Source organism: Homo sapiens, chromosome 13 (assembly GCF_000001405.40).
Source record: "Homo sapiens chromosome 13, GRCh38.p14 Primary Assembly".
NCBI classification, from domain to species: domain Eukaryota; kingdom Metazoa; phylum Chordata; class Mammalia; order Primates; family Hominidae; genus Homo; species Homo sapiens.
Genome location: NC_000013.11, coordinates 52,686,547 through 52,707,469, shown reverse-complemented (window position 1 = coordinate 52,707,469; position 20,923 = coordinate 52,686,547). Strand labels below are relative to the sequence as shown.

Below are 20,923 nucleotides of genomic sequence, written 5' to 3'. Positions count from 1 at the left end.
TGTAAAATGCTTTAGGCTGAAACACTGAAAAGTGATGTTTGTGAGGATGACACGAGGTGTCATCTGCCCTCAGGGGCTCTCACTTCAGTTAGAGGATAGACCCACACTTAGATGTAAAACGCTTTAGGCTGAAACACTGAAAAGTGATGTTTGTGAGGATGACACGAGGTGCTAAAAACTCAAATCTTCCACAAAATATTTACCATTATACTTTTCAGGGAGCGAAAAAGTAGAATAGGTATTTATTTGTAGCTAGCTTTTAAAATAAAAAATACAGGCTGGGCGCGGTGGCTCACACTTGTAATCCCAGCACTTTGGGAGGCTGAGGTGGGTGGATCACCTGAGGTCAGGAGTTCAAGACCAGCCTGGCCAACATGGTAAAACCCCGTCTCTACTAAAAATACAAAAAATTAGCTGGCACAGTGACGTGCACCTATAGTCCCAGCTACTCAGGAGGCTGAGGTAGGAGAATCACTTGAACCCAGGAGACTGAGGTTGCGGTGAGCCAAGATCACGCCATTGCACTCCAGCATGGGTGACAGAGTGAGACTTCAACTAAAAAATAAATTAAATTAAAAATACATGCAGAAATTTTTTAAAAACAGTACAAAAGGATATATTAAGAAAAGTGTTTCCCTTCCACTCCAGACACCCTCCCCAAAGCAAACTATTAACAATGACTATTTGTCCAGTTTCTTTGCATAAGTACACACCCACAGACACACACACATACACACACACACACTTTTAACACAAAACTTTTATACCTTGCTTTCTTTCCAGTTACAATATTTTGGAGATTGTTTTCCTACATAGTACCTCATTCATTTAATGACTACTATTCATTTAATAGTAACTCATTGTATACATAAATGTACAGAAATTTAGTTATGCTTTCATGGCTATAAATTATTTCCCTGTCTTTTGCTGTTTGCAAATACTGTTACAGGATACAATCTTGTACATGACTTACAGGATTATGAGGAGTAAATAAAGGTAATGCAGGTGGAGCTCTTTTAGCACAGGGCTTGAGATACATAGGTGAACAGTAACTTTCTCAATATTAGCTATTAGTATTGTGCCTCTTTGTACACACATGGAAGTCTACCTTTAGCATAAATACCGAAGCATGAGTCTGCTGCATCGAAGTAGATTTACATTTTAATGGAGGATACCAAATTGCCTTTCAAGGAATTACATCAGCCCTATGTCTGCAAACAGTAATGAAAGGACCCACTTCTTACCAAACTTAAAAAAAACTTTCACCAATCTCTTGGGTGTAAATTCTATCTCCTGGTTGTTTATCTTGCTTGTCTTTAATTATGTGTAAGGGTGAGCATCTTTTCATATACTAAGTCATTTGCACGTTTTTCTATGTAGCCTATTCAGTCCAACACTATTTCAGGTGTTGCAAATATATTTCCTAGTTTATCATTTTAAAAATATTTTAGAAAAGCTTGGAGCAAGAAGTATTTTCTAAACAACCAAAGGCTTATCAGAAAATTCAGGATGCCACAATACTTTACTACCTTAGCTTGAAGAAGAATAAAAAGAATCTGAATAGGCAAATAAAATTTAATACTGTTTATTCCCTAGAGAGCTGGGCTGGCTGAATCTGGCTCAAGGGGTGAGGGCATCAGCCCCTTTATAGACAGGCAGGATATGACTTTGCCTTGGATCCAGTCTTGAGTGACCTTTATCCCTTGAAAAACTCCAATTATATCAATTTTTTCCTTTATTATATGTTGGACTTTAAGCAGAAATGGTTAAAGCATTTATCTCCATGATCTCATTCAGTTATTCCTTTAAAAAACATATCTTAGGGTAACAACATGAGATTTCCTCCCAACCTTTCAATCCTAAAACTTTTGTCAGGTCCTCAGATAAGGAAGTGCCTCAACTGACAGGCCTTTTAACTCTCCCTGCCTCATAATTAATAAATGAGGTTGTTGTCTTTTTGCTGTCCCAGATTAACCTATTCAAGAAATAAGGTAAAGAACAGAGTGAGTCTGATGAATTAAAAAATGAATGCTTTAAGAGTAAGATAATAAATATTTTGATGACATAACTTGAATATGGGTTGTATCAGATCATGTTGTTAATTTTGTGATAATGGCAATCTGGTTGTAAATTTAGGAAAATATCCTTATTTTGGGGGGCACATTCTAATGTATTTATGGAAGAAATGTCACAATTCCTCCAATTCTCTTTAAATTCACTTCAGAATTTACTTTAAAATACTAGTTTTGCTTTGATGGACATATAAATTATTTCCCTATCTTTTGCTGTTGCAGGAAGGGGAAAAGCAAATTTGACAATAGGTTAGCAATTGTCCAATCTAGATGAGTCTATTGGTGTTCAATCTATAATTTTCTCTACTCTCCAGTATGTTTGAAATTTTTTTTTTTTCCAAGACAGAGTTTCACTCTTGTTACCCAGGCGGGAGTGCAATGGCACAATCTCAGCTCACTGCAACCTCCACCTCCTGGTTCAGGAGATTCTCCTGCCTCAGCCTCCTGAGTAGCTGGAATTACAGGTGTCCACCACCACGCCTGGCTAATTTTTTAGTAGAGATGGGGTTGGTTTCACCATGTTGGCCAGGCTGGTCTCAAACTCCTGACCTCAGGTGATCCACCCACCTTGGCCTCCCAAAGTGCTGGGATTGCAGGCATGAGCCACTGCGCGTGGCTGAAATTTTTAATAACTCCCCCCACTCCCCGACATCCCAAATTAAGATTAAAGACTTTGTTTAAACACCAGAATCAGCTAACTTTAGGAAAGAATCTTAAATTGAATCAAGAATTTAAAGATAAGGGTTTCTTGGGAATGCACTTCAATACCATATTAAAAATAATGCAGAATCTCCACCCTTACAAGTCCCCAAAAAGGAAAACCAAATATGTAAACCGGGCAGGGTTGGAGGGATGGGAGTTCCTTCCAGTTCTGTAATCTCACCAGCAGTGAAAATGGAGATTTTTACTTCACCAATGTAATCTTGTGTTTATATATTTACATAAAAAACTAGAAGGCAAAGTTTAAGGCCTTGAATTTTACATGTTTTTGTGGAGTCTTTTCCTGAGACCCCTTTGTCCCTATAGAGATAACATCCCCATTCTGTTACTGAAATGAAAGCAGGAGAAAACTAAATGACTTGACAGTGTTCTCAGAGCCAGTGCAACTGGAATTGAAATCTGTCTTTAGCCTAGATTGATGAGTTTCAAAAAGTGCTTCTAGAGCCCTGGAAGCTATTACTGCAAGAAGCCACAAGCATTCCACTGACTTAGAATTAGCAGTGGCAGAAATGCTACTTTTTATCATAATGCTTCCTTCTTGCTTTCCTACTTAAAACAAGCTGAGTTACTAAGTGGTAACCATAGTTCATTAAAGGCATGGAGAAACTTCAGGATATCGTTTTAAAAGACAAAACAACTTTCTAGTCAGTGACAGGTGAGGTAGGTGTAGATTCCTTGGTGTCAAAAGGAATTATGAATGACAGCAGTGAACATGAATTATGAATGACAGGGTAAACAAGATCAAACCCTTTACAGATTACACCTTCCTGTAGCAGTGAAAAATTCAGAATCTTATTTAAAAATAACATGCATGCTATGACCTTCCCACTATGCAGTTATCACAAATAATTATCTTTTATTTCACAGCAGCAGGAAGGGGAAAGCATGACATTCGACCCTAGACTGGATCACGAAGGAATCTGTTGTATAGAATGTAGGCGGAGCTACACCCACTGCCAGAAGATCTGTGAACCCCTGGGGGGCTATTACCCATGGCCTTATAATTATCAAGGCTGCCGTTCGGCCTGCAGAGTCATCATGCCATGTAGCTGGTGGGTGGCCCGTATCTTGGGCATGGTGTGAAATCACTTCATATATCATGTGCTGTAAAATAAGAACTAGCTGAAGAGACAACCAAAGAAGCATTAAGGCAGGTTGATGCTGATAGGACCACAAAATATTTTTACACTCAACCTGAGCGGTTATTCTTGACACTCTTAACAGAATTTTTTCAATTGTTTTCCAGAACTTTAGTATATGCAAATGTACTGAAAGGGTAGTTCAAGTCTAAAATGCCATAACCCCTTTATTATTTGTTATTTTTTATTTGCATTGCTTTGCCATAAGTCTTCCCTTGCTTGTATCTTCCAAAGCTATTTTGAAATAAACATGAAAATTTACAGTTTGCCAAAAATCTCAATTGTACACTTGAGCTCCTTTTAATTAAGTCATGATGAAAATAAGTCATTGTTATTTGTACAGAATTCCTCAACTGTTCTTAATCTTTTTTGTCCCCAGAATTCCCAGATAAAAACACACAGAAAAAGGAAAGGATATATAATGGAATCTACCTAAAAGTGAACATTTTTAGCCTCAATCTGGAAGCTCATGGGGAATTATTTGAGTGCACTGGCATGTGACCTGTGTTAAGAGTCACCTCCAGGGAAACAGCACTAGGATAAAGAAAAATGCAGTCGAAGATAAATCAGACTTGTGGGGAGGAAGGACTTTATTGACATTCTGAAAAGCAGGTCTTCACACCTTTCTCAATCTGTTTTCAGTAAGTGGTCACTGGGCATGAAGAAGCATAATGATTTTTACCTTTGTAGTACAAATCAGGCTGCGGCTGTAGTCCAATTACCAATAAGTTACTCTCCTAGTTACAGGGCTGACAGTGTTGCTTGGCAGATACAGCTGAGGAGGAATAGCTTATTTATGTATAATGACATAAAGTCTCTCAGGAACAAGGACTGTCTTTAGAAATTGAAATATTAGATCAAGAGGATGAGCAGGTATTTTATATTTTTGACATTTCAGTTTTGCATCCCACCGTTTGATAGATAAACAACTTTCCTAAGGAAAATAGAAGTTTTCCAAAACACAGATTCTGAGACGACAGAAAGGTCTTGATGCCATGATCTCACTACACTCTCATATTCAGAATATACCTTATTATTGTGTATTCCACAGTAAATCCCTAATACTGGTGTTTTCCAATTAAAGTCTATAAAAATGATACAGAATTTTAAAAACCTGGTTTTCAGGTGAACACTCAGATCCCTCCATTTAATGAAATACACAGCAAGCCTAGGTCTCTGGAGAAAAGAGACGAAGGAAAGGCACCGTAATGACATGTAATGGTCACACTGTTCTCAGGAAGCAGCTACTTCCTGCAGTTATGAATTCCACGTTTAGTCTTTAAAACTGCTGTTACTCTATTAACGAAAGAAATATGCGTCAATGGTTCTGCATATCATCTCCCACCCCCATGGCTCAGCAACCTGTACTGGGTTCTAAAAATAAAGAGAATGATTTAGTGATCCCAGCCCAGAAGAGCATATGGTCTTATGAGAGATACAGATAATCAAGGCACACCAGACAAAGCCTTGATAAAGATGGAAGCAATGGGCTTCTTGGAGAATGTCTACTCTCTAGATTTTCAAGGATGAGCAGGAATTAGCCAAGTGAAGGTGACAGAAGATTTGCATTCCAGGCAGAGGGAGTTTGAGTAAGACCAGAGGTGTGAAGTGAAGCTGCATGGTACAAGCAGGAAAACAGCATTCAGGTCGGGGTAGGAAATATCAAGATGAAAATGTAGGCAGAAGCTTTAAGTGGCATGTTAATCTGGGGAGTGTGTGTGTGTGTGTGTGTGTGTCTGTGTGTGTGTAGGAAATAGGAAATGAAAAGTTGCAGGCAAGGAGGGAGCTGGTTAAGTTTTCACCTTAGATGAATCCCCCTTGGTAGCTTCCCATGTGAAAACTGAGCAGGTGCCATACAGGCCAAAGAGGCATCTTAATAAGGACAGCAGGTCATAAGGGAAGGCTGACTTTTGAAAAGATGCTCCCTTTCAAAGCTTCATAATTAGATGAAAATATAGGAGGTGCGTAATTTACTTCTAACAGGCCAAGGGATTATGTTGTGTTATGAAACGTCACTAAATACCCAAGGACATCAATTTAACAGAAAAAATCAGGATGATTTAATAACAGAGGAAAAATTCAAGGTTGGATTAAGGATAGGAATGACAAAGGAGACTTAAATTGTATTCAAGGATGAAAATAAGGGTCTACTTTGAAAGAGAAGTGGACAGATGAGCATTCAATAAAGGAAGAGAGGGCAACAGGGAAGAATTACAAATTTCTTCACAACTTGGTACTACTAATTTCTCAAATTACTTTTAACCAGGCCAGTCTAAAAGTTGCAAATACAGCCCAGTTTGCTGTGCTGAATCTTGACTGAAATGTTAGTATGTGTGTATAGACTTATGTGTATTATTGGTACTTCATTAGATACTCATTTAATTCTCAGTAGTGGTACAAACCAATCCTGATGGAACATCTCAAGTTAGATTTCAAGGTCCTAGTTTGACTCGGAATGGAAGGAAATATGTGACAGCTGCCATTTAGTCAGCACATGGAAAATGTTTTCATTTTCTGGCTGCAAAAACTTGTGTGTTTTTACACCTCCCCTTCCACCAGCACCTCAAATAACTGTGACACTAAAAAAGTAGATATAATACTAAGAATAACCACTTAACCCACTCAACAGTTTCTTACATCAGATTTTATTATACTGAAATACAAGCTACATTTTTACAAAATAGAAATTCTTTGTGAGTGGATTGACTTAATTTTATTTCTGTATAAGCTAAATATGTTGATCTGTTTTATGAACATGTATTTTATAAAAATGGTCACAATATATTTTTTAAGTTAACTGATTTATTGAGGGAGGAGGAGAGAGTTGACCAAAGTCTACATGCATAGACAGTCCTAAAAGCGTATCTCAAACATGAAGATGTAAATTTGAGAGTTAATGATACAAATTTCAGCAAAAACATTTTACAGGCAGAGAGTGTTTTGGTGTTTATAAAAGCTGAACTCCTTTTGAAGGGCTTTTGTACAAATACACATGCTCATATACTATATGCATATATAGGTGTACTTCATTTTGAGAAAGTCCAGTATAATACTAGCATCAAATTTACAAAACAGGTTTAGTGTTGACTGACTGAAGAACTCACTACAGGTTTTACTTCAACTGCTTACATTCAAAAGTATTCAATTTACAAATTTTAGGTACTTACTGTGTAAGGTAAGTACATCTATACATAAATACTTTTATGCAGGTATAATATAAACATAGCAAATAGCTGAGGCTATTTTCTAAGGTGTTTGGCTTAGTGAACCTTTTTTACATCTTTATAGTTTTAAAGTCAAATACATAGCAGTCTTTATTTGGGTGTATGTTATCACAGAGGAATAAAAATCAGTAATGGGACTGGGAACAGTATACCCACTAAGTTAAATTAAGTCATTGGTTAAAACACCAAATTATTCAAAACCATTTAAGAGATATGCCCCACTAAATTCCCTCTGAATTTAGTCATTTACAGATGTTGTGTTTCGTATTCCTGTTCTCACCTTTGTGCCTGCTCCTTTGCAAACATTCTTTTCACACCAAATTCTTAGAACTGAATCAGAACTGCAGAAAATCCAACACCTTTTCTCTCCTCTGCACATGGCTACAAAAATTCTAATAGTAACAAGATAGTGTGAAAGACATACCTCTATATACTTTTTACTAGCATTGCATTTGCAAACTTACTTGAAATTACTTTTTTAAAAAAACAGGATTTCTATGGCGTCCTGTCCTTCAGGGTTCCTTCTAAGGTATGAATTGCTAAGAATTTTCTTTTCAGCTGCCTATATTTCATCAGCCTTGATAATTAATCATCTTTTATACTAAATTTGCCATATACTGACAAAGTCAAAGACCTGTAATAAACTAGACAAGCAAAAACTTTCTCTTAGCGGGACTAATGCTGTTAAAGGCAAATGGTTTCCTTTCCATTAAAACCATATTCCTGCCTGTTAAGTTACTGAGGTAACTCCAAAAAATTAAGCAGTAAAAAAGATCTCCATGGGATGTGCCCTAACACAAATTCTACTCGGCCTACTCAACCAGCACCGTAATTTTTAACATTCACTTAGCACCTATGGGTAATTAAACAGGCATCATCGGAGAATATTCCAGTTGCTAAATGGTACCCCATTATTAATTAGTACTATGCCATGGCTCTCTCTGAGTATTTCTCTGCTCAGTTCTAGTAATATCTTAGCAGTGATAAAAGTGTTTTGCCCAAATAGTTATTCTCATTTTGTTTCACTTTGATTGAAACAAACATTTGATTTTCTTTCATCATGTGCTGTCATACGGTGATATGGATTCAATAACTTAATCATAATGACCCCCCAAGATTAAGAAGAAAAAAAGCATCATTCAGCATCTCTCCTCTACCTTTTAATTTCTGTGTTAAGAGGGAAACAAAACCTTCAAAGGAGCAAGCCAAGTAGCTTTTCCTCTTCTCTAAACTTTACTGGAAATAAGGCATTAGAGGTGATTAGTGCTAATCTCACTTCTGTTCTCTCCTTTACTCCTTGACATCACTGTGTTCTACATGCAGTCCTCCAGGTCACCTGCTTCAAAACCATCAGTTCATTCAAAACAAAGATTTACTGGACCCTCTCTCAAAGGTACTGATTCAAAATCTCAGGAGGAAAGTAATGAAGGTCTACATTTTTAAAAATAAGCTTCCCAAGTGAAGGTTACTCACCAATAAGCTTAAGAACCACTACCCTATATATCATACAAAATAGCTGCCCAATGTTATAATTTTAGTTGTCCGATATCAGAATGTCAGCAGAGGATTAGGGCAAATCAGCTAAGCATGGTGGCTCACGCCTGTAATCCCAGCACTTTGGGAAGCCAAGGCAAGAGGATTACTTGAGGCCAGGAGTTAAGAGAGCAGCCCGGGCAACACAGCAAGACCCTGTCTCTACAAAAAAAATTTAAAAATTAGCTTAGTGCACTAGTAGTGCAGTCCCAGCTACCTGAGAGGCTGAGGCAGGAGGATCACTTGACTCCAGGAGTTGGAGGTTACAGTGAGCTATTGTGTGCCTGGACAGCAGAGCAAAACCCTGTCTCTTAAAAAAAAAAAAAAAAAAAAGATTAGGATAAATAAGTTTTAAGAGAGAGTCTATCACCAACGATCTGAGTGAGTTACATTAAAAACCTGTATGAAGAAAAAAGTATATGAGATGACAGCACTCTGGAAAAAGTGCATCTGTAAAACCAAACGTTTGGACTACATAGTATTTAAGATCCATTCCAGCTCCAAAATCCTGACTTCGTTTTTGTCTCCTCATACTGACAGTGGATGAAATGCAAATACATGTTTGCATTCCAGGGAATAAGAGGTTCCAAAGCTACCTCTAGTCTTGTCAGATGGCCCATAAAAACATGCTCTGTTGATCTGATTTTAACAACTCTAAAATAAAATCCTATGCTACACATATTCCTAAGTCCCTGTTCACAACCGGTCATTCTCCAATCTTGCCTTGGTACTTATTCTGCTGTAACTGTACTTATATTCCAGAACAAGAAATAGCTTTGCTAAACAAAGATTAGACTAACATATGCTATTACCTATAGTTTAATGTGTTAAGGAATAAACGGCAGACATAAGTTGAGTATTCAGGCTGAGGGCTTCTTTCCACCACCACAAGCTAAGCTCCATGAAGGCAGGGAATTTTGTTTACCTAGTACCTAGCACCTAGCTCAGTGTCTGATGCGTATTTGGCAATCAATGAATATTTGCTAAGTGCATAAATGAATGAGTGGATGTCATGAACCAAGTTCTTTTTCAGATACCTATATTATTCTACTACATACCTTAAAGTAAAGGCTCACTCAAAGAAAAAGTGTATGGCTTTTGACTGCAAAGACTTGAAGGGCCTCAACGGTGTTGATACTGTTTAAAAATAAAGTATACAACCCTCATCAAAGAGGGTTTTCTAGTACTCAGTATCTCAAAATTTCTTCAGGGATTCCAGAAAAAAAATGGACACGTGAGCAATTCAAACTTTTGTCTCCAAGAAGATTGGTATGCTTATAAATTGACTCACTCTTTGTTTCCATATTGCTACATATGCTCAAACCTAATTCCACTCCTGGCTTTTAAGATCTGGCCTCTCCTGTACTCTCCCCAAGACATTTGGGCTCATAATTTTGTATGAATGGAGGGCTAACCTAGTTAGAAAGTAAACTTCAGTCCGTTCAATTAAAACACAAAACAAAACAAAACAAAAAACAGCCGGGCACAGTGGCTTACGCCTATAATCCCAACACTTTGGGAGGCCAAGGTGGGAGGACTGCTTGAACCCAGGAGTTTGAGAGACCAACCTGGGCAATGCAGGGAGACCCCATCTCTACACAAAATTTAAAAATTAGCTGGGAGTGGTGGCACACACCTGTAGTCCCAGCTACTCAGGAGGCTGAGGAAGGAGGATTGCTTGAGCCCAGAAGACGGAGGCTGCAGTGAGCTGCGACCATGCCATTACATTCCAGCCTGGGCAAGAGCAAGACCTTATCTAAAAAAATAAAAAATAAAAATAAATAAATAAAATAAATAAAATAAATCAGGACACCCCTCCAAAAAATGGTATCTCAAAATTAAATAGCAAAAAAAAAAAAAAAAAAAAGTACTTGGATATCACACTGGTTTTGATTAGTTATATAACTGTTACTACCTCTAACAATGTAGTTAAAATTAGCTCTCGTGGCTGTGGGTTAAAAACCTACTTAAAAATTAAAATCCTGTCAGAAACGGTGGTGCACGCCTAGTCTCAGCTACTCAGGAGGCTGAAGTGAGAAGATCACTCGAGCCCTGGACTTTGAGGCTGTAACACACAATTATCACGCCTGTGAACAGCCACTGCACTCCAGCCTGAGCACCACAGCAAGACCTCATCTTTTTGAAAACAAATTACTATTCTATTTACATTGACAAATAAATGATCAACTTTAAGGGCTTGACATTTTTAAAAAACCCCAATTTTAAACACTATGGTTTGGGATGAGTAACTTCCAATATTTGAGTACATACTATGTGAAAGGCACTACGCTATGTATCAAAGATCCAAAGCTTAAGTAAATAACACTAACTGACCAAGACACACAAGGTAAAACAGACACAGCCGCAACTAACCCTATAACATGTGACACCATGAAGGTGTCATAAATAGAGGCATAAACAAGGCACTCCCACATCACAACTAGAGTGGCAATGCATTTCAGTAGAGGGCATGGAGAGGGGAGTTCCACAAGAGTACTGACATTTTAATTGAGATCTCATAGAATGAATGGAAGAAAATAAGGGCATTCTGTGCAGTGATAAGACCATGAGCAAATCCATCCAATTCTGGGAGCCTGTTCTCTATGTACCAGGTGCTACACATACAAAGATGGAAGCTAGACCGCGCCCTCAAGAAACTCAGTCACACGGGGGAAGAAATGAACCAACTGTAATGTACTGGTCTGACAAACAAGGAATAGATTAGCACTCTCAAGCATGCTCATGACATGTTGTGGTTTTGGTATGACTCCATCAAAGGATCCAGTGATGTCTCAACCATAAGCAAATAACCCAATCCAATGCCACAAAAGTCAGTAACAGAGTTGCAAAAGATTAGACTGCTTTCCTGGAGGTAGCATACAAACTCAGTTTTGACACATCAGTAGGAAACTGGAGATGCCCAGGAGGGGCAGAAAAAGGAATGAAAATACACGACATATTCAGAAACAGCAGATGTCTGAACACTAAAAACAAAGAATATGCAATAGACTGTAAGTGCCCTTTGCAGAAAAAGTTTGACCATGACTAGAAGATTCTTGTGTGTCTGGGAGCTTTAGTACACAGCAAAGCAGTGACAAGAGATGTGGCCAAAAATTTTGGCTGGGGTTGAATTCTGAAAACTCTTGAATAGCAGGTAAATGCCAGACTCACCCTCCTTTGAAGAATTTCAACACTAAACAGGACTGAGGGGAAAAAATAAATCAAGGACTTTACATTTAAGTAGCATTTATTGGTAACATAATTTGAGTCAGGACTTAGTTATTAAATCCTCACAATCCTGAGGGTTAATTATCATCCAGTGTTATAAAAAAGAAAAAAGTTCAGATAAGTCACTTGCCCTCAAAACACACAATTATGAAAGTATCAGAACTGGGATTTTAAGAGTCTAGATTCATAAGTTACTACTCCTTCCATTACAAAACAACACCTGTCTCTGTGGTGAAGTATAATTTTTTAAAGTCAATTGTTTTGAAATAGCAAAATAATAACAATAATAAAGGAAATGCACTCAATTTCTTAAGCATGTTTCATCCCCCACTGGATATATATCCTCAGCCTAAGCTCATTACTTATGAATGTGTTCACTTTCAGTCACTTCAAGCCACAGAAAAAGTTTAGAAAACAGATAATCAGTAAAAAGTGGTAGTTGTGAGAACTCCCAGCTGACAGTGAGCCCATATTAATGTCTACACACTTGTATATGCTCCACACTGATTCATTTGGGGCAAGAATAATAAGATTGATGAATTAACTCATAAAAACATCTACCAGCAGGCTGGGCATGGTGGCTCACGCCTGTAATCCCAGCACTTTGGGAGGCCGAGGCGGGCGGGTCACAAGATCAGGAGATGAGACCATCCTGGCTAACACGGTGAAACTCTTGTCTCTACTAAAAATACAAAAAATTAGCCGGGCATGGTGGCGGACGCCTGTAGTCCCAGCTACTTGGGAGGCTGAGGCATGAGAATGGCGTGAACCGGGAGGCGGAGCTTGCAGTGAGCCAAAATGGCGCCACTGCACTCCAGCCTGGGCGACAGAGCAAGACTCCGTCTCAAAAACAAAAACAAAAACAAACACAAACAAATATCAGCTTCTTTTCACTGATGGGAATAACAAGACAATCTGTGGTTTATAAACTGCGTGATTTTGTACCTTGTATTTTTCACAAATCCTAATAGTTTTACCTTCTGTTTTGAGCTTTGAAATTGAAATGAAAACCAGAGAACTTCCGAAAGTTCCTTAACATTCTACATCTAGTTTATATTTTCTGCCACTATTTTATTTTACGATTCTTTATAAAGTGCTGACAATACTTACATAATTAAGCTCTGTTTAAGTAAAATTATTAAAAACTTTTCATGAATTCTTATGCTCTCCAAAGTACAAATTTTATAAATTACAGTAACAATTGTTAACTAGGTGATATACTTTCCTCAGACAGAATTCCACATCTTGAAAGACTGAACTTACAACACAAAAAAATCTTCTCTAGGATTTCCACCTTCCAGCCTAGGATCATCTGATGTTATCTGTCACATGAAGCACTGCTCTTTGCACTTCACACACATAGATACACAATTCCAAAACCCTCAGATGAGTTTTTGAAGTCAGAATTTTGGATTTTAGAAGATAATGCAATACAGATAGACTATTAATAGTTCCCCTTTATCCATGGTTTTGCTTTCCACAATTTCAGTGACCCACAGTCAACTGCTGTCCAAAAATAACTGTTCACATAAGTTTTATTGCGGTATATTGTATATTCTATTATTAATATCTTACTGTGCCTAATTTATAAACTTTATCATAAGTATACATGTATAAAAAATGTACATACAGCATTCAGTACTGGGGGTCTTGGAATGTATCTGCCACAGTTAAGGGGCAACTGCTGTATTTTGTAACAATTTCAGCAGGATCAGTGCTAGCATTCTATAATTAAACATTTAATATTTCTGCTGCAAAATGTGACTATTCATATTATAAATTCAGGTCACGTTTTATATCACTTGTCATACAGATGCACATGCACACACACACACACACACAAAACATTAGTATTTTGAGCCTTCTGGATTAAGATACCTGTGGAGTTACATGAATTCATTCAACTAAGACCATGAGGCATGAGGGGGATCCTATTATCTCCTTTACATAGACACAAAAACTGAGGCACAGAGACATTAAGCACCTATATCCATTGTCACACAGCTAGTAAGCAATGTAGCCAGGATGATCCCAAACAGGATGGCTTCAGAGTCCATGCATTTAACCACTATGCAATACTGTCTTTTCATGTACTTAACAAAAGCTCTAAATATATATTAATAGTATGCGCAATTGTTTATTATTTAGATCTTCTGTGGCTGCATTATAGGGTACAGTTTTTTAAAAAACCCTATATAGGTATTAAGGACCATTTTCCTAACTCCTTCTAAAGAAACTGAAAATTACCTTTAGGTAAATAGCAGTGTTTCTGAAACATCTTTTTGTATAACTGAATCCTTTAATCATAGGAAAAAATAAAGTCAATGATATAGGTAGAAGTCTCAATGTAAAAATAAAACTAAAAATCCAAATGTGAAGGCATACCAAATATTTAAGACTCCAGACAAGCCAAAATTCAAATATATATATATATACAAAATGCTAACATAAGTTAGGAAAAAGGAAATAACCTGAAATATTCAAATTTTATTGGAGAAATCAGTGATACACAAATCCTAACATGTCTGTAGGAATAAAACCTTGAAACAATCTCAGCATTTGTACAACGGAACTGGTATGAGAGCTCCCAAGTTAAAGGAAAAAAAGAATTTCATTGGCATCATGTACCAGTCTTCTTACACATGCAACAGTTGTTAAAAGTACACTGTTTCTCTGTAATGATCTAGATTTGAGAAAAACAGCACCCTCTCAAAAATCAGACTACTTCTTTGCATTACTTCCAGTATGAGGCAAAAGATTTGGATTCCTAATAAGCTTTCCTACTTAAGAAAGTGAGGATCTCTAGGAATTTATCTTCCCAGCTCCTATATAAGAATTAGTTCTTGGCTGGGCACAGTGGCTCACGCCTATAATCCCAGCATTTTGGGAGGCCAAGGTGGGCGGATCATGAGGTCAGGAGTTCAAGACCAGCCTGACCAACATGGTGAAACCTCGTCTCTACTAAAAATACAAAAATTAGCTGGGCATGGCGGCCCATGCCTGTAATCCCAGCTACTCAGGAGGCTGAGGCAGAAGAATTACTTGAACCTGGGAGGTGGAGGTTGCAGTGAGCCAAGATTGCACCACTGCATTCCTTCCCTGAACGACAGAGTGAGACTGTCTCAAAAAAAAAAAAAAAAAGAATTAGTTCTTTAACTTGAATATTCTCTGCTTCATTTCCAGTCAGCTGATTTGGTAATAAAAATCATTCATTCCACATCTAGCTTATTAACCTGATGAGAGGATTGCAGTTGTCAGAAGTATGGGTAATGGAGTCTGATAGGCCTGGGTTCAAATCCCAGCTATTGCAATTACTTACTAGTAGAGTGACCTGGGCAAAGAACTTTACTTTGGCCCCATCATCTTTCTGATTTGCAATAATGGGATGCTATTGAAGGGCGATTAAAAATGAGATAATGCCACCCAATCCATAAGAAATGCTAGTACACAGTAACTACCACTATTTGCAGTAATGAGTCAGCATTCATTGTATATGATTTTAGCTGATTTGGAGGAGCAACTTTACTAAGGTAGGAAGTGAGGCTAAGAGTTAAATTAATCTCAGAAACCAATCACAAGGATGGCTCCAAATAGTAACATTTGTAGGTAAATCAATATTTTCCCCACAAGTTCCCAAAATAAAATCTCTTGGTGTGTGTAAAATGATCTTACGATTTAAAAAATGCACAGATGGAGAAAGGGAAACCACATCAAAAGAGATGAACCCTTTTATTTAAAACTACATATGACCCTTCCCTGCACAGAAACCAGTATTTTGTCCTTTTAGCTTTTATCATCTAATTCCTCTAGGCAGAAATAACTTAAATCCATACTGTCATATGGTTACAGTAGCAGGTATGAGCAAAAGATGTACTTCTTTAGAGCTAGTTACAAAGGGTAAGTGGCTCTAGTAACTAACAAAAACACACACCACCTAGAAACCGTCTACCTTTTTTTGGAAATGTCAGTAAAGCTACAAGTTCAGAGAGATGCACACCAATCTGAACAGGAAAGATTCCAAGGGAATTTAAGTGCATTAGGCTGATTAGATGGTAAACTAATATGCAATTTTGCTCTGGGTCAGTGATATATCTCAGATATCAATAATCTAATCTGATATGTAGATAACTGAGGAAGGAATAGAGAAAGGTAAAGTGGGAAAGAAGAGCCAAAAAATATTTAAGTACTGAACTAAATTAAAATTTCTATCTAAATTATTCATAATAGCATTGTGATGTATCTCCATTTTAAATATTTACTTGAAGTTCATAACTGGGCATGGTGGCTCACTCCTGTAATCCCAGCACTTTGGGTAGGCTGAGGCAGGTAGATAACTTGAGCCCAGAAGTTCAAGACCAGCCTGGGCACATGGTGAAACCCGGTTCTACAAAAAAAATACAAAAATTAGCCAGTCGTGGTGATGCATGCCTGTGGTCCCAGCTACTTGGGAGGCTGAGATGGGAGAATCATTTGAGCCTGAAAGATTAAGGCTACAGTGAGCCAAGAATGAAAATGTGGGCCAGGCACAGTGACTCACACCTGTAATCCCAGCACTTTGGGAAGCCGAGGAAAGAGGATTACTTGAGCCTAGGAGTTGGAGGCTACAGTGAGCCATGATCGCACCACTGCACTCCAGCCTAGGTGATAGAAGAAGACCGTGTCTCTAAACAAATTTTTAAAAAAGGAATAAAAATGTTTTTAAAAACTAGAGTTATTAATGCAAGCCATCCTCTTTCTCCATTCCATTTCACTCCCTATAGACAGAAAACAGATTGGCCAGTAAGTGCCAGTGCTAAAGGCTGAGCTTGTTAGTTGGCAGTCAACTCTGAATGGGTATTAAGACATAAGACAGGAAATTATCAAAATTGACCTTGATGTTTCAAACTTGTGGTATAGATATCTAAAGAGATTACTAGATAGCAGAGTTCAAAAAGCAGATTATTCTATTCAAGATTCTTTGAAGACAGTGGGAGAATTCTGGATTCATCAAGGTGCAAATTATTATGGAAATCAGAAGAGATGAAGTCTACAAGACCAAGAAAAACATGTATTCCAGGACTAACCTTAAAAGGGAAAGGAAACATTTAAGAGGAAAAATACATACATTCTGAAGAAACAAAAGGCTACTAATACTAACAGCACTGAGAACCAAAATTTGAGAAATGAAAATTGGAGTCTAGAAACAAAGAGGGAACAATTAATAGCTACATTGAGATAGCAGAGGATAAGGATAGAGTTAAGAGGCTCTTAATCAGAAAGAAGTTTTTTGTTTTAACTTTCTGGAGGCTTACAAGCTTCCATTATCTAGAATGATTAAACAAAGCAGTACTTTAGAGTGGGATTCTTAGGCAGCAATCTAGCCTACTTTTCAAAATTCCCTTGACCTATAATGAATCTAATGTATTTGACAAGGTATGTTTTATAATGCTTTCAGTCATGTGTTTTACAAACTCCCTTCAGACCAGCAAAATCCCAAATCCCACAACACTTAGCAAATCTAGCCAATGGGTAAGCATATTCTAGATAATATATCCTTTAAAACCAACTAAAGATAGTACCAGATTTTTTTTTTTTAAACAGCTATTTATTTTTTTTGAGATGGAGTCGCCCAGGCTGGAGTGCAGTGGCATGATCTTGGCTCACTGCACCCCCTGCCTCCCGGTTCAAGCAATTCTCCCTGCCTGAGCCTCCCAAGTAGCTGGGACTACAGGTGCATGCCACTACACCCAGCTAATTTTTGCATTTTTAGTAGACACAGGGTTTCACCATGTTGGCCAGGCTGGTCTTGAACTCCTGACCTCAGGTGATCTGCCCACCTCCGCCTCCCAAAATGCTGGGATTACAAGCATGAGCTACTGCACCTGGTCAGAAACAGCTATTTTAATAGTGTCATCTTTAAGAAAGAAAAAGTTAAGCGGCAAAAATATGCTTCTGTATTTAGAACCATGGACCTTTAATTATAACTCTAAGACTCTATGGATTATTTACAAAGGAACTAAGAAAGGCCTAAACCTGCTGAAGATTATGAAGGTAGTCAATGACAGAAGACTTGCTAGAGCTAAGCATTCTTGTCTCTGGTATAGTGCTATACGTCCTCAACTATGCCTCTGCAGCAATAGCCTTCCTCTTCATCTTAGGATTAATGGTACTGAGAAAATTTAACATACAGAATACAAAAGTCACTATCCTATTTTCCTAAGAAGAAAACTTTAGAAATCCATCCAACCAAAACTTAATTTTGCCTTTTCCTTCAGTGTTCAAGAAGAAAAAAATGTATCTAGTAGCTCTAAGTGGACAGAAGGACAAGTGAAAACTCTAGAATGCTTAAACAAGCTATAACAACAGGTTTGGGCACCATCTGGTATCACCTTACTGAAACTTTCCTTAGTAACTCCCCTACACCCCACAACAAAGGACGAGAAGGAAGGAGCTGAATTCCTACTGTTTTGGAGGCTGAAATGATGACCCGTTTGCCTCCCACTCCCCCTGCTCTGAGGGTATAGAGTAGTGCTTTGCCATAAAAATGTTAGTGACACCTAACAGAGCTGAGACCAACATCTGGGGTATTACAGTTGAGAAAATCATGGTGAGAAAACAAAGTCAGATCTACAGGTCATCCATAGTCTATACTTTATAACAGCCTAGACTGTAAACAATTTTAATCACAGAACATTTTCCTGTCTCTAAAGTGTATTTATACCGAGTTCAGCATTCAATCTTTCCACAGTTCCTTCATGAATGTTATTTTTTTTCCCTGCTACATTTATAAGCTCTTTGAAGTTAATAATCATGTCTTTAATTTTTTGTATTCTCATGATATCTATATATTCTAGGCACAGAGTAAATACTAAACATATACACATTAATTTACTCTCACAGCAGTTACCATAAACCAATGAAACCAAAGTAATCATGGGGACGTGACAACAGAGATTTTCTAATAAAGAAAAAAAATACCAAAAAACCCACCAATGCTGTAATTTCAAGAATCCTGTCGTGATAAAAGAAGCAAGTGGAGTTGGGCTTTCCTAGAACCTTCTTTGCCCTACCTTCACAGATTATCCTTAGTATAAACTTGCAGTGTGTTAAAACTCAGGTATCTATGTTTTATACAGAAACTTGCAAGGTAACGACCAAAATATCTCAGTGCAATTAAATTTACAAATTCTTCCCATTAAAAGAACTACATGGGAATTCCCTGTGATAATTTCTCAAAGTTCTCATTAAAAACTTAAGAAAAAGGTAAATAAACCAAACATCTTCATAGAAAAATTGTATTTACAACTCCATTCAAAAGCAGTTTTTAAAAGCAAACACAATGTAACACTGAAGGTGAAAAATCTAAGCTCACCCAAAGCTGCCAGGTCTAATAAATTACTGACAGAATACTGTATCAAAAATAAGGCAATAACCGAAAATATACCATTAAAGATTTCTCCATCCCCACAACTAGATAGAATGAATCTATCTAGGAGCAAATGACATGCTTTATTCAGTTTCACCATGTCTGAAACCTTTAAGGACAGAAGTGATAAAATGTTATCTTCATTCTTCATTAGACTTGAACACTTGAAGGAAAATAATTTCTAAAGCACAAAGAGGTAAAGAAGTATAATCTTTCAAAAAGATATTCAGTGTTCAAAATTCAAGAATGCAATATCAATACACAATGGGCATTAGGTGAATATACACAATACGATGAGAGCAAATTAATTTATTTAGTACTTTTTCCATTCCATATCATCAGGAGGATTGATTTCAACTTTCCTTTTACCTACATCAGACCAGTTGGTACTCAAAACTGTACCACCCGACTCCATCTGCAATGAAAAATAAAAATAGATTAATTCCTGGACCATATAATCAAAATAGAATATTTTTCTTAAAATGTTCCAAGCATAGAGCCCCAAATATTGGCTATTATATACAGCTCAATATAAACTCTATGCAATACATATATAATAGATTATACAGATAAAATATATAGCTCAATATAAACTCAAAACAATATTTTTATTTAAACTTAGGCATTCCAGAGGTTAACAAGTTCCATAAAATCTGAAAAGGAAATCCTAAAGTAGTCAGGGAGGTGCACTACATCCTTTGCTAATGAGCATAGATGTGCATGTGGAAAAACTACCTTCAATTGAAAATATTATTAGCTCCCAAAAAAAATGATTATTATAATCTCTTTTGCTGAAGACCGTAAAGACCAGTCAAAATAATCTCTTCTTGTACCAGCTGAAGAGAACTTGAAGGGCCTCTACTTTGTGCTCTCTTTGTGCCAAACACATGCAAGTTTATCCAAAAATTTTTAAAAATCAAGGTACATAAATGCAGGTATAGAAAGTCAGTGTCTCACTGAAGAATTGGTCATTTATTTACCATCTACTGAATATACCACCTACCAACAACCCAAGCATATTCATTAATATATTTTAAAAAACCATCTGGACATTTCTTTTTTTTTTTTTTTTTTTTTTTTGAGACGGAGTTCACTCATTGCCCAGGCTGGAGTGCAATGGCACGATCTGGGCTCACCGCAACCTCTGCCTCCCAGGTTCAAGCGCTTCTCCTGCCTCAGCCTCCCGAGTAGCTGGGATTACAGGCATGCACCACCATGCCCGGCTAATTTTGTATTTTTAGTAGAGACAGGGTTTCTCCATATTGGTCAGGCTGGTCTCGAACTCCCGACCCTCAGGTGATCCGCCCACCTTGGCCTCCCAAAGTGCTGGGATTACAGGCATGAGCCACCGCACCCAGCCCCATCTGGATATTTCTTATTTTAACATGATAAAAATCAATGGATTTGAACCACATCAAAGAATAGAGCGAATTATTACAATATAAACATTTAAAAATAAACAACTGTGTTAGTGGCCAATGTATACAGTTACATATCCTACACATTGGAACCTCAATGTAACCCCATGTCCGACACGCTCTACCGAGCTCCCTTACATGGGCTTTTTTGCATGGCAGAGATTTTTGTGTCCTTAGTCATCTT

At 37.5% G+C, this 20,923-nt stretch overlaps 2 protein-coding genes across 13 annotated transcripts in view; one reads left to right on the top strand and one right to left on the bottom strand.

Annotated features, from left to right (window-relative positions):
• CNMD (chondromodulin) overlaps window positions 1-4,206 on the top strand; it is a 36,557-nt gene extending 32,351 nt beyond the window's left edge. For 4 of the 7 annotated variants that reach the window (XM_011534900.3, XM_011534899.3, NM_007015.3 and 1 more), the window contains one exon: window positions 3,660-4,206. In XM_011534900.3, coding sequence (XP_011533202.1) covers window positions 3,660-3,875 — 216 coding nt within the window. In that variant the 3' untranslated portion in view covers window positions 3,876-4,206. The remainder of the gene's footprint in view (window positions 1-3,659) is intronic. The other 3 variants (XM_047430070.1, NM_001011705.2, XM_011534898.3) reach the window with 1 other exon arrangement.
• Window positions 6,561-20,923, bottom strand: part of SUGT1 (SGT1 assembly cochaperone of MIS12 kinetochore complex) — a 48,074-nt gene continuing 33,711 nt past the window's right edge. For all 6 annotated transcript variants that reach the window (NM_001320831.2, NM_001130912.3, XM_017020365.2 and 3 more), the window contains one exon: window positions 6,561-19,736. In NM_001320831.2, the coding sequence (NP_001307760.1) occupies window positions 19,635-19,736 (102 nt within the window). In that variant the 3' untranslated portion in view covers window positions 6,561-19,634. The remainder of the gene's footprint in view (window positions 19,737-20,923) is intronic.